General features: G+C 34.0%; 1 protein-coding gene across 16 annotated transcripts in view; it reads right to left on the reverse strand.

The window, feature by feature from the left end:
* Positions 1-12,653, reverse strand: part of SHOC1 (shortage in chiasmata 1) — a 108,767-nt gene that overhangs the window by 13,493 nt on the left and 82,621 nt on the right. For 13 of the 16 annotated variants that reach the window (XM_017014340.2, XM_006716975.3, NM_001378211.1 and 10 more), the window contains 6 exons: positions 8,192-8,261; positions 6,905-7,083; positions 5,584-5,701; positions 4,218-4,329; positions 2,442-2,563; positions 291-384 (listed from right to left, as the gene is read on the reverse strand). In XM_017014340.2, coding sequence (XP_016869829.1) covers positions 291-384; positions 2,442-2,563; positions 4,218-4,329; positions 5,584-5,701; positions 6,905-7,083; positions 8,192-8,261 — 695 coding nt within the window. Of the gene's footprint in view, positions 1-290; positions 385-1,937; positions 2,564-4,217; positions 4,330-5,583; positions 5,702-6,904; positions 7,084-8,191; positions 8,262-12,653 lie in introns of those variants that run through there. The other 3 variants (XM_047422868.1, XM_047422867.1, NR_109816.2) reach the window with 2 other exon arrangements.

Consider the following 12,653-nt stretch of genomic DNA (forward strand, 5'->3'; position numbering starts at 1 on the left):
AAGGAACATTTTTAATCAAGGGATATTTATTTTTATTCATATCCTGCTATGTTTAGAGAACATCTGAGTAGTAATAAAGAGAAGAAACATGATTTTAAATTCATTAAATTAAAGCCTTTTGGAACAGAATAATGATAAAATGTTTATTAATTTGAAAACTATTCTTTATTTAGCTTTTAAACAGTTTTTAATTCATTTGCTTAACACTTTTTTCTCATTGGGCACTTAAGTTTGAGTATAATTTTGGTTTATAAAAAATACTTATGAAGAAACACATAGGAAAAGAATACCTTTACATCCAGTTCTTCAGAGTTTAGCCCAAATGAAACCAAAGCTGCATAAATCAGTGCTAGGTGATGAAGTGTCTTTTCTGTAAGCAGATACCTACAAAGAATTATATTACTATATTTCTATTCATTTGATATCAGATTATATTTATTAAAAATTCATTTTGTTTTCCACATTTCATAATATTTTTAGAATAACCTAGCTAAGACAATACTAGTGTGGCAAATTTGTGGGGTTTTTTTTTCCACTCTGTACTCTTGAAAAAACATCTCCATCTCCATTATTTAATAATACTGTCAAATCTACGGGATACATGTGTGTTAGGGGAGGTGTGAGTTGTGGGAAGAACTTAACCCATCCCTTTCCTGACTCCAGGGATGGCTTTATGACCAAATCCTAGCCAACTAGAATACTCCATCCCCCTGGTCAAAGTAACAGGTTCAGACATGGACACATGACCAGAACCAGGATACGTGGAATCCTCCCAGAATTCCCTAAACTGTTAGAAAATGCATCTTTTTCTTTTCCTTCTGTGGTTACTAAGCAGGTCAGATGTAAGTGCTGAATGGTGGGTAGATATTTCTACTACCTTTACCCACTTTATGTACCCTAAGCAACAAAGAGGAAATTACTAGCTTATATTATGAAGAAGTCCAGAGGAAGCCATTGTTGGATTCTGGGACTCAAAACAATACCATCAAGATAATGGCTCTCTTTATTTCTCGGCTCTTCTTTCCTGTTTTGGATTCTTTCTCAGATTAGCTGTTTCCATATAAGAAGCTGATAAGAACACTGTGCCTAAACTGTTGACAAACAATGTAGTTTCTGTTGAACATCTGCTTTTCTTCTTAGAGTCTAGAACTTTGATTAAGTGTCAGGCAGAGGGTGCCTACTTGACCAGCCCTTAAAAAAAACCCTGGGCAATGTGTGTCTAATGAGCTCGTCTGGTAGAGAAAATTTTACAAGTGTTATAACTGTTTGTTGCTGAGGAAGTTAAGCACATCCTGTATGACTCTACTAGGAGAGGACTCTTAGAAGCTTTCTCCTAGTTTCCTCTGGACTTTGCCCCATGAGCTTTTTTCCTTTGCTGACTTTGCATTATAGGCTTTGTATTGTAACTTTGCACCATAATAAATCATAGCCATGAATACAGCTATATACTGAGTCCTCCTAGCAAACTATCAAACCTAGTATGGTCTCAGGGACCCCTGACACTCTTACTCAAACAAGAATTAATGGCATGAACACTAACATAATTCAAACAATTTCTTTTGTATTTTCAGTTTTCCTAATTTGGTCAGTTGATTAAGATACTTCCTAAATGTTCTAATTCTCTAAAAATATGAATCTGAGATATCTAGAGGTCTGAAATCATTATATTTTATAATATATGATTGTGAATATTTATTCACTCTTTACATCTTGAACATAAAACTATCTCAGAATATTAGATAATTATTTTCATGAAAATCTGGGTAAAAATAAGTTTGAATCTCCTTTTATTCTCCCTTGTACCTCAATTGCACTACTAGAACCATAGGTAGACAGTAATCTAAAACAACTTTTAAAAATTTCCAAATAAGTTATTTATCCAGAACACTTCCAAGTTCCAGATAAAGCTTAAAATGCTTTACAAGAAAGTTCAAAGCTTAAAATGCTTTACGCCCTTTATTATTCTTCAAAATGAAGGTTTTAGACCGGAAATATTATTTTTCAGTTCTGGTAGAAGGGAAAAACCAGGCTAAATCACTTGGTAGAAGTTATTTGTTAATAGAAGGAGGAATAAAAAACAAGGTATTTAGACTCTTACGTTCGAACTTATACCAACCTGATAACAAGTGTATACAAAAAATTTAGTACAGTAGTTAGACAGAAATCAGACAAGTCCAGAATTACAAAATAATAAAATATTAAAGCAGCAATTCTTAGTGAGATGGGGGAAAGGGGGATGGCTTTCACAGAATGTCCAGGGAAACGTATCATCTCCAAAATTCAAATTTGTTTTCCTGTGATCATACCTCCAGCTTGAAAATCCTTGACTTAAAGCAAACTAGATGAGCATGCAGAAAATTGCATAGCCATTTCCATTCAAATAAGAGGACTTAGGATTAAGAAATACGAACATAACTTTGGATGAAGAAATGTTTACCTACTCTGAATTTAATGTTTCTTTGGTATATAAAATTATCCAACAATATCTGTACTGTAATGATAATGCCATCAGCCTCATAATGATATTGTCTGATGCCTTCTCATAATTCAATTCTTCTAGATCCTATCAGAAAATAAAGAAAATGTAAAAATTCATTAGGTTGAACAGTTATTATGAAATTATGTTATCATTATTTCAAGAATCTATGACATATAAATAAGTTGAAAAGAGGCATGGGTATGAGCCCCCATTTCATGGAAAAATTAAAATCATGCAGGAAGTAGTAGGAGAAAAGCTATAGTAGACATAAAACACCTAATGACAGCTTCAGCAAGGAAGGCTCCTGAATCTCCCGAGGTCCTAGATATGAAGAAAGTAGCCTATGGAGTGCCCCTAGTTTGGCACGCCATAGGCTAGTCCAATTTTCTATTGCCTTTGGAATAATCAGATCCTAGTCCTTTGTGGATGCAAGTCCTTTGTGGACTAGGATCTGGTCATTCTAAAGGCAACAGAAAATATGTTTAAAACCTATGAGATGATGTGCACTGCATGGTTATTCAGAGGAGATGAGAAAGCAGCAGTTAATGGACTTTCTGGGAATCTCTACCTAATGGTATGGAATCTCCTTTTCCTTTAACATAAGTAATTTTTGATACATTAAGGAATTCAAAAAATGACCTTCCTCTAACAATAAGTTATATAATTGGATTACAACAGTTTTGCCAGCCAGGCACAGTAGCTCATGCCTATAATCCCAGCACTTTGGGAGGCTGAAGTGAGAGGATCACTTGAAGCCAAGAGTTCAAGACCACCCTGGGCAACATAGCACAACACTGTCCCTACAAAAAATTAAAAAGTTAGCTGGGTGCAGTGGAGCGTGCCTGTAGTCCCAGCTACTTGGGAGGCTGAGATAGGAGGATCACTCGAGCCCAGGAGTTCGAGGCTGCAGTGAGCTATGATCGTGTCATTGCACTCCGGGCTGGGCAATGGTGTGAGACCCTATCTCTAAAAACAAACAAACAAACAAACAGTTGTGCCAAACAGAAAAATATTGTTTAAGAACTTTAAATATACAAGACACAGTATCTCTTAAAAATCTCTAATAGAGTTGTGTTTTTCCATCATATAATTCTTATAACATTTGCTTATCAAAACACATATTGGCCATTAATATATAGCAATATTTATACTGCATATCATCAAACCTGGTTTCTGCTCCCACTCCCACCCCAATAAATTAATTTCTTTTCAGTTGGTTCTCCGATCAAGCAAACATATCAGGGAGATTCACCCAAGAATTTATACATAGAAAATTCCAAACTATATGAATTTTTGAAGAGAAATTCTCTTTCTAAAAACTAGCTTACTTAGAGACAACTCCTGTTTACACTGGAAATGCAATGAATGATTGGAAATTCAATATTATCAATCATCAATTAATACACTATCTCCTTGTAATAAAAGTGGCTGGAAATTGCTTTTTTAAAGCTTTCAATACTATAATTATTCTATAAATATACTTAAAATAGGTTAATATACAATATTAAATATTCTTTATTTGCCCTATCTTCTTAAAGTATGTTAAAAAGCTATAAGGCATCAGAGAAGTTTGATAATAGTCATTTTCCACAGTGACGATTTTAGCACTTGTGGCCCATTTGCAAAATTTAGAAGAAATCACTAATATAGTTAAACTTCCTACAGAAAAGATAATAACAAATTACATAGCCATATATTTTAGTCTATTTTAGTTTATATATTTTCTACCTAGTTTTACCTGCAAAATTATGGCAGTGTGTTCATCAATTGTCACCACTACATAACACTCTGAACTTCCAAAGAGTTTCAATGACTCACTGCAGCCTCTCTCTACTAGTGAGATGTTATAGCTGTAAAATACAATATTCTTGAGTGAAAAAATGAAATGCTAATAAAATTATTTAAGAAAAGTTGTAGTTCCCTCCTGCATGTTAAGTTATTTGGATTTCTATGCTTTTTCTTTTACATGTCAATTTGTTCTACTTTATAAAATTTGAAGAATAAAGTTATGATTTTTTCAGTATATAAAACAAATCAGCTGAGATGTGTGTTGCCTTAGGCATTGTGCTAAATGTTACTGCACGTAACACTATTACAAATGTTTTGACCAATTTATTCCAGCTCTTTAAATAATAATTCATGAAATCAAAACATTATGGGACTAAAATATTCTGCATTTATCAGAATTTCCTTTTTTTATTCCTTAAAAATGGCTTACATTTTAAGCACTTTTTATTTTATTACTGTATATTGTTATTATTTTTAGAGACAGCTCTGTTGCCCAGCCTGGAGTGCAGTGGTGCTATCATGGCTCACTGTAGCCTTGAATTCCTGGGCTCAATCGAACCTCTCATCTCAGCCTCCTAAGTGGCTGGTACTACAGGTACATACCATCATGCCCTTAACTACCTTTTATAAGCTCATAGTTTCCTATGAATGCTCCACAGCCTTAATGCATAAAAACAAAAGCATGGAACATACATCTGCATTTTAACTAAGGTAACAGTACAATTATCCTTCCTTGACATGGAGCCCAAGGTCCAACATTCCTGTGACAACTTGTGTGTTATGATAAAGTGTTTTACGATTTTATAACATCTAATGTTGGTATGACCTTAGATCTAAAGATTTAAAACCTTGAGAATTCATTTAGAACTTCACGGTCCTGTTTCCCAGGCAGTAAAGTTCTATAAACAAGAATACTCATTCTCAATATTATCAATGACTCAAAGACATGAACATATAATTCACAGAAAAAAGCACACAAAATGTTCATATTTGCTGGTAACAAAAGAAATGCAAGTAAAACATGAATTTAAACAAAAATTAAATATTATTTTTGTCCATAAAATTGATATTACCCAAAAATATAATATTCAATAATTATGAGGGTGTAGTATAGGGAAAGAAGTATACATTGATATAAACTCTCTGGAAAACTATTCTTTTGTGATATAATTCCAGGCTTGAATCACAGACACATGGAGACACATATACAGCATAATATTTAGCCTATCAGAATATATATACACACACACACACACACACACACACATATATATATAATGTACACTTTTGTTAAAATTGTGAAATCAATAACTTACTTGGATTCTAGCAGCTGAAGTATGTCTGGAGTATTAAGAAGTCCTTCAGATGCAAAAAACACATATGGAATCTGAATTTCCAAAAGAAAACCTCCAAATCTATCCAGCAAGGTGCTTCCTAAATAAGAGAAAATTTATAAATATTTCTCTTTTATTCTCATCTCCCAGCTCTTTCTCTTTTTTTTTTTACTAAACATGAGGATAAGTAGGAGTAGTATAAAAATAATATTCAATGTAAAAAATCAGAAACAGAATAAAGACAGGCTTGAAGAAGAAAATAAAAACCATGTTATCCTACCGAGAAATAAGTTAATAGAGTTTACTAATACCACTATACACTAAAAACAGAGTTTTGCATATATTTCCAGACTTTTTTCAGTATATTTTCTTGCTTATACTCACACATGTACACTCACTTCAATAAAGAGAAAAAATAGGGTCATTCTCTACCTGAAATGTTGAAACTTGCTTTATTCACTTAAGTATATATTGGGCATGTGCTGTATTAAATATATACTGATTTACATAAAGATTTTAAATTATGTGCAATAACCCATAGGGAAAACATTTTACAGATCAATAAGAAAAGAATAAATACCTCAATAGATACATGGTCAAAAGATATACACAGGTAATTTATAAAAGAATAGTTACACAAGATCAATTCCAAATAAACCATTATGGTGACCGTATTGTTAGAAATGAGTTGGAATGTCTCAGAATCTATTTAGACTTCCCACTCATATTTGAGGTGAATAGAAAATAATCGATGGCAAGTACTGAGAGAGATGCACTCTCACACTGAGTGCATTTTATACTCAAAATGTATCAGATTTATGGATCTGAGAATTCACAGCCTTAGTCATGACTGACAAATACAAAGAAATAAAGTGATGTATGAAGTGGTTTAGACTTTCTTCTAAGTATTTGTAGATAATTTGTTTTACACATTAAAATTTTCTGAATCAGTTAGCATACTATTACACAACTGTCCCCTAAAAATCAATAAAAATACTATTGCATAAAAGCTATCAGATTAAGATTGGATATAAATGTAATAAAATTGTGCTATTATAAGTAAAATTTAGAAGTTAGATAAAGGAATGAAAACATATAATTAGTAAAGCTTACTTTACAAATGAGGACTACGAGGTAAGAGACAGTTAAAGGACTACCCCAGGTCACACAGATAGTGGTGGGGTTAGAGGTTGAACTCAAGGCTTCTAATGTCACAGCTTATTTTTATCTATAAATCATAAACAAAAAATAGAAAATTTTCATTCTAATAAAGCAAAAAAAGGATTTTGGCTTATATTCTTACTTTCTAAAACTGTGTCTGGAAGAATCACTTTAAAGGCCATGTAAGGAATATTCAACTCTTTGCAGTGTTTAGTCCAACAAGAGTCTTCCACATAATTGTATTCCACCACAAATGAGAAATTACTCCAGGGGAAATCTGCTCCAATATATTGATTATGTACAACTACACAGGAACTTGTACTAAAGACAAAAGAGAGCCAAGAAAATGGCATTATACTTGTGTTATTATTTTGTTGAACTATTAAAAGATGACTGTTTTCTGGCTGTTCCATCCTTCTCTAATCTATGCCTCATCTTAGAAAGGCACTGGTGCGTTTTCTGTTGATTTGCTCTTCAATAGTGTTAATTTCTTTATATTTTTCTTCTTAATGATCATACATTTTTATACCAGGATATAAAAACCTGTAACCTATTTCATATCCTCAAATGGGAGACAGCCTGATTTTATTACCTGAGTACTATCAATAAGAGAAATCAGCATGAAAAATCAGTCTCATTTTCTTACAAATATAAGGTCTTAATCTTAGATAATTACATAATAGGATATTATCTGGCAACTTTAAAATGGGATTTTTTTTTCTTAATGGGCTTCATAAATGATTTAACAACAACAAAAAAGATGGACACTTAAATATCATAAATTTAGCTTTCTTTTCTAATAAAATTTCATAAACATTTTCAAATCTCATAAAACATACCACCTACTATAATTAAAATTCTCTATTGCTGCTATCTAGAGCAATCTAGAAGTTAAAAAGTACCTATGTCCAGTTTTTATGGGCTTCTATTTGATTTACATTTTTAAAATTATTTGGATCCCAATATTTGAAAAAAAATAATTTCTATGTAAAATGAGGCAAAATAAAGAGTTTTACACAATTCAACACTTGATTTATTATTAGCAGGCCCTTACTGAAAGAATTTCTAAAGGATATACTTCAGGAAGGAGAACCCTGAAGAAAGAAGATGTAAAAAACAATGCTGAGCAAAGAAACTGGTACAAATATACTCTAAATAGGCACTTCTGTACTACAATAACAATATTATTATTATTATTTGGGGATATTAAAATAAGATTGAATTACATTTCTGGACGCCAATAACATATAATACACAGGACAATGATCAGAATTAAAGTGCCCTATGTAAAGCATTTTTCAGGAAGAGGGTAGAGGCATTGCTTAATTTCAGATTTTGTTAAATTTTTAAAGTTAACTTCTAGGAAGATTTTGCTTTTCCTGTGAAACTGGTACGTTTGTTCCTCACAGATGAAGGAATGAATTTTTACCCCCTTAAAACACCTTCAGATTCCAGAAAATCTTTTCTTTCATTTGAATGAAGGACAGTCAGTGTTAAACCTGTTGGAAAAAAGAATAATTTTTTTCAGTGTCTTGTTCAGATACATATTTTTGGTATGTCATATATTTCACTACCATAAAAATGAATTAAAAATCTGTGAATAACAAAACTGCTTAAAATACAATTTGCTAGATTATTTTTCTAAGTTTAGCATATCAGAAACTTTGAACCATAACCAATATTTCTCTTGCGTGTATATATAGAGCATGGAAATTCTAAATTTATTATATAAAATAATAAAATTGATTAAAAACTTATTTTTGTTAATTTTTATTTTTTATTTTTTATTTTTTTTGAGACAGAGTCTCGCTCTGTCGCCCAGGCTGGAGTTCTGTGGTGCGATCTTGGCTCACTGCAACTTCCGCCTCCTGGGTTGAAAGAATTCTCCTGCCTCAGCCTCTCAAGAAGCTGGGATGACAAGTGCCTGCCACCACGCCCAGCCAATTTTTGTATTTTTAGTAGAGACAGTGTTTCACCATGTTGGTCAGGCTGGTCTTAAACTCCTGACCTCAAGTGAACCCCCACCTCAGCCTCCCAAAGTGCTGGGATTACAGGCACGAGCCACTGCACCCCATAGAAACTTAATTTTAAAGTAAGCAAATTAAACACTCACCAATCCTGTGCAGTTAATTTTGTTTTGCTAAATATCAGGGTGGATTTTATCTTTGTTCTCTAGCCAAAAATTTAAGTACATAACTAAATAAGAGACTGTATTTCAATGTAATAGGAATGCCTTTATTCTCTTTCTACTGAGTATTTAGAAGCAGAACACTTATTGGGAACTGTTTCTTAGATTCACTCTTGCTTCTCATACTTTAAATTTCTTATTTTACTAATGTTTAAACAAAATATAATAAATTTCAAAATATTCTGTACCCATCCACACAATTTATTTTTGGTAGACATAATTGATTCAAGAATGGCTAATTCTAGTTCAAATAAATTATATACTCTATTAGTGTATTTTTTCAACCATAAAGTTGACGAAGGTGTGATATAATAATAATGAGAGTAATGGTCAATAATTTCATATAACTTTACTTGACATGACAATAGTTCTGGTAGTGATAAGAAGTGAGTACTATTTCTCTTTTATAATTCATAAGGTGATTCTTCTATTTAAAACCTAATTTGGCTGTGTGCAGTGGCTCACGCCTGTAATCCCAGCACTTTGGGAGGCAGAGATGGGTGGATCACCTGAGGTCAGGAGTTCGAGACCAGCCTGGCCAACATGGCGAAGCCCTGTCTCTACTAAAAAAATACAAAATTAGCTGGGCATGGTGGCGCAGGCCTGTAATTCCAGCTACCCGGGAGGGTAAGGCAGGAGAATGGCTTGAATCTGGGAGGCAGAGGTTGCAGTAAGCCGAGATCGTGCCATTGCACTCCAGCCTGGGCAACAAGAGTGAAACTCAAAAAAACAAAACAAAACAAAAAACAAACAAACCTAATCTGCTTAAATGATTGTATTCGCTATGATCCCAAAGCAGATTAATTACTTGGTAAGTGCAGTACTAGATCTTACAAACGCATAGAAAACAGAACTACGTTTTTACTTTCCAACACTAGGCAGAAAAATAAAAGCCTTGCTTCCAGAAACTGAAGATAATTGCCGTTCTGAAAAAGAGTAAAAACATCTTCCAGTTTATAGACTCAAAATTTTTGTGTCAGTAGACCTTGTTGAAATGAAGATAATAAGCTCATTGATTACATAATCCTGAATGCCAAAAGAGACAGGAGTATTCAGCATGAAACCCAGATATGCGATACAGAGTAATAATCTGTCAATAAGGGTGACTATAGTCAGTAATAACTTAATTGTACATTTTAAAGTAAAAAGTGTAACTGAGTTATCTGTAACTCAAAGGATAAATGCTTGAGGGGATGGAGGGGATTCTCCATAATGGGCTTATTTCACATTGCATGCCTGTATCAAAACATCTCATGTGCCCCATAAATTTATACACCTACTATGTTCCCACAAAAACTAAAACTAAAAAAAAATCTGTCAGTGTATCTTCAGTAACATCAAAGGAGAAGGTGTCCCACTGAGTAGGTTTAAATATTCTTCTCTGTGGAGCAGGCATATTTCCTCAGGTTCTTCACAAAAATATTCCTTTGGTTATCCAAGTCCCTTTCTTTTATAGTGCAAACATTGCTCAGCACTTTCCTGATTTTTTAAAAAAATGTTTCCAATTACCCTGATTACAGACAACTGTGGTAGTCTCAGCCCCATAACTGTTAACTATTGCTCTAACATTTTGGTACTAGTAAGGATCTTATGAATTTGGTGGATACAAATCATCTTCCCAGGATTGGAAAACTGAATGAAATAATAAGATCCAAGTTTACAAATCTAGACTCTAGATACATGATAACTTTGTCAAGAAATAGCACCTTATAAGACTCTGCTTGAGAGACCTTTCCATTCTCACATTACCATAATTTAAAATATTAGTTAACTTCCTGCACCGATGAGCAGATCTATGTGGCTATATTTGTATATTTCGGTTCAGTCTTTTTCACTAGTTCTAGTGTGTACTACGTATATAGAGAGGCACTAATTGGCACATTCATTTGTTTAATAAACTTTTATCGAGTGCCTTCTATGTTGTGGGCATTTTCCTGAGTGCTGGGAATAAAAATTAGGGTATGATCTGAATCCCCCAAAAGCAGACATTTTAGTGAGGAAAACAGATAAGAGGATCATTTCTAAGGGTGATAACACCCTTATAGCCTGGGGTGGGAAGTGGTGCCTTAGAAGTATGCACATAATGGCCTGAGAGCACAGAGGAAAAGCATTGAAATCAAGCCTTCCTCAACAAATGTTTTAATTAATTTTTTAAAAATGTGTAGGAGTTAGCTTCCTAACAAAGGGGGAAGAATATTCTTATAGCAGGAACAAGAGGTATAAAGGCATAGAGATATGAAACAGCATGATAGTTTGGTAAGGTAAGAGTAAAGAACTATTTTAGGAGATGAAGATGGCAAAAGATGCAGCTTATAGAGGGAAGAGAAACGGTAACCAAAGGGTGACATAGGTTGACAGTGGTGTTTTATTTTATTTTTAAGACTGAAGGGCTTAAACATTAAGGAAAAGAGTAATTAGAGAGAAAGGTTGGGCTAGGAAATAACTGATGGAACAAAGTGCTTGAGACTGCAGGAGGAGATGGTATCCAAAGCACAAGTGAAAGATTGGTCTTCAAAGGGAGGTTCATTTCTATAGAGAAAAGAGGAAAGGATAAAGAACAGAGAGAAATGCAGGTAAGTGGTAAGTCTGTAAATGGTGATAGAGACAGGAGGCAGCCAATGGTCCCCCGGCGAAACCCCTTCTTCAAGCCTAAAGCAGCCTGAAGGCTGAAAAACCAGACTGCTGGTCCTGGATGAAGCCCAACCTTTCTTAATTGATTCTTTCTGAATAATGCACACCTGCGCACTGGGAAGACGGGATGAGGCCTTGGGAAGTTCCTGCCACTTGCAGGAGGGAGGATCCTCTCCTGTCCTCTTCCTGTGTGGTAACCTGGGATTCAATCTGTGAGATGGGGGTCTATTAACAGGAACCCCTCTCGCTTTGCTGAGTTTTTTCTTTTTTACCAAATAAATTCTGCTCCTTACTCTTCAAAGTGTCTGCGAGCCTAATCTTTTCTGGTCATGTGACAAGAGCCTGGTTTTTCTACAACAATGGTAGGGAAGGAAACTGAGGAGGATACTTAAATGATTAATGAAAATTAGAAGGCACAATTCCCTTCCAAAAAATGAAAGGATGGGTAATATAGTAGGGGTTTTTTGTATAGTCATTCAGAAAATAGGAGTGGAACTAAGAATATATAAAAAGATTGTTAAGACGTCTTAAGAGCCCAGGTAAATTTAGAGGGCATGAGTTTGTGAGTTTGTAGTAGTACCAATCTATATGACTATGTGATTCTCTCCAATAGCGCTCAGCATCTCAGGTGTAGGAATAGAGAAGTTAAATGAATTGATTGATTCAGGGTTGAGGTTTAAATGAAAAGTACAATAGAAGCATAAGACTGATTAAAGTGATGGGTCAAATCACTGAGTCTGGAAAGAAAAGGAGATGAAACAAAAAAGTAGCTAGTGGATTATAGATCTCTAAGATGTTGAAGATCATGAAAGAGCTATAGGTATAGACAAAGAGCAATGTATCAGAATTTAAAGTTCAGAGGTAGGACCGTTCTGCATTATCACAAGTTCAATGGAATAGCCAAGGAACTGAAGATGAATATAATTTTTGTTGTGGAGGCCAGTGAAACTATAAGGCCAGGGTGTTGAATGAATCATTCACATTAGAAACATTAAAGACACCTAGAATAATGACAGGACTAGAAGTGTAAAGAATACCATGAGCTAGGTACACAATTGTCCATGGATGATGG

Source organism: Homo sapiens, chromosome 9 (assembly GCF_000001405.40).
Source record: "Homo sapiens chromosome 9, GRCh38.p14 Primary Assembly".
NCBI classification, from domain to species: Eukaryota; Metazoa; Chordata; class Mammalia; order Primates; family Hominidae; genus Homo; species Homo sapiens.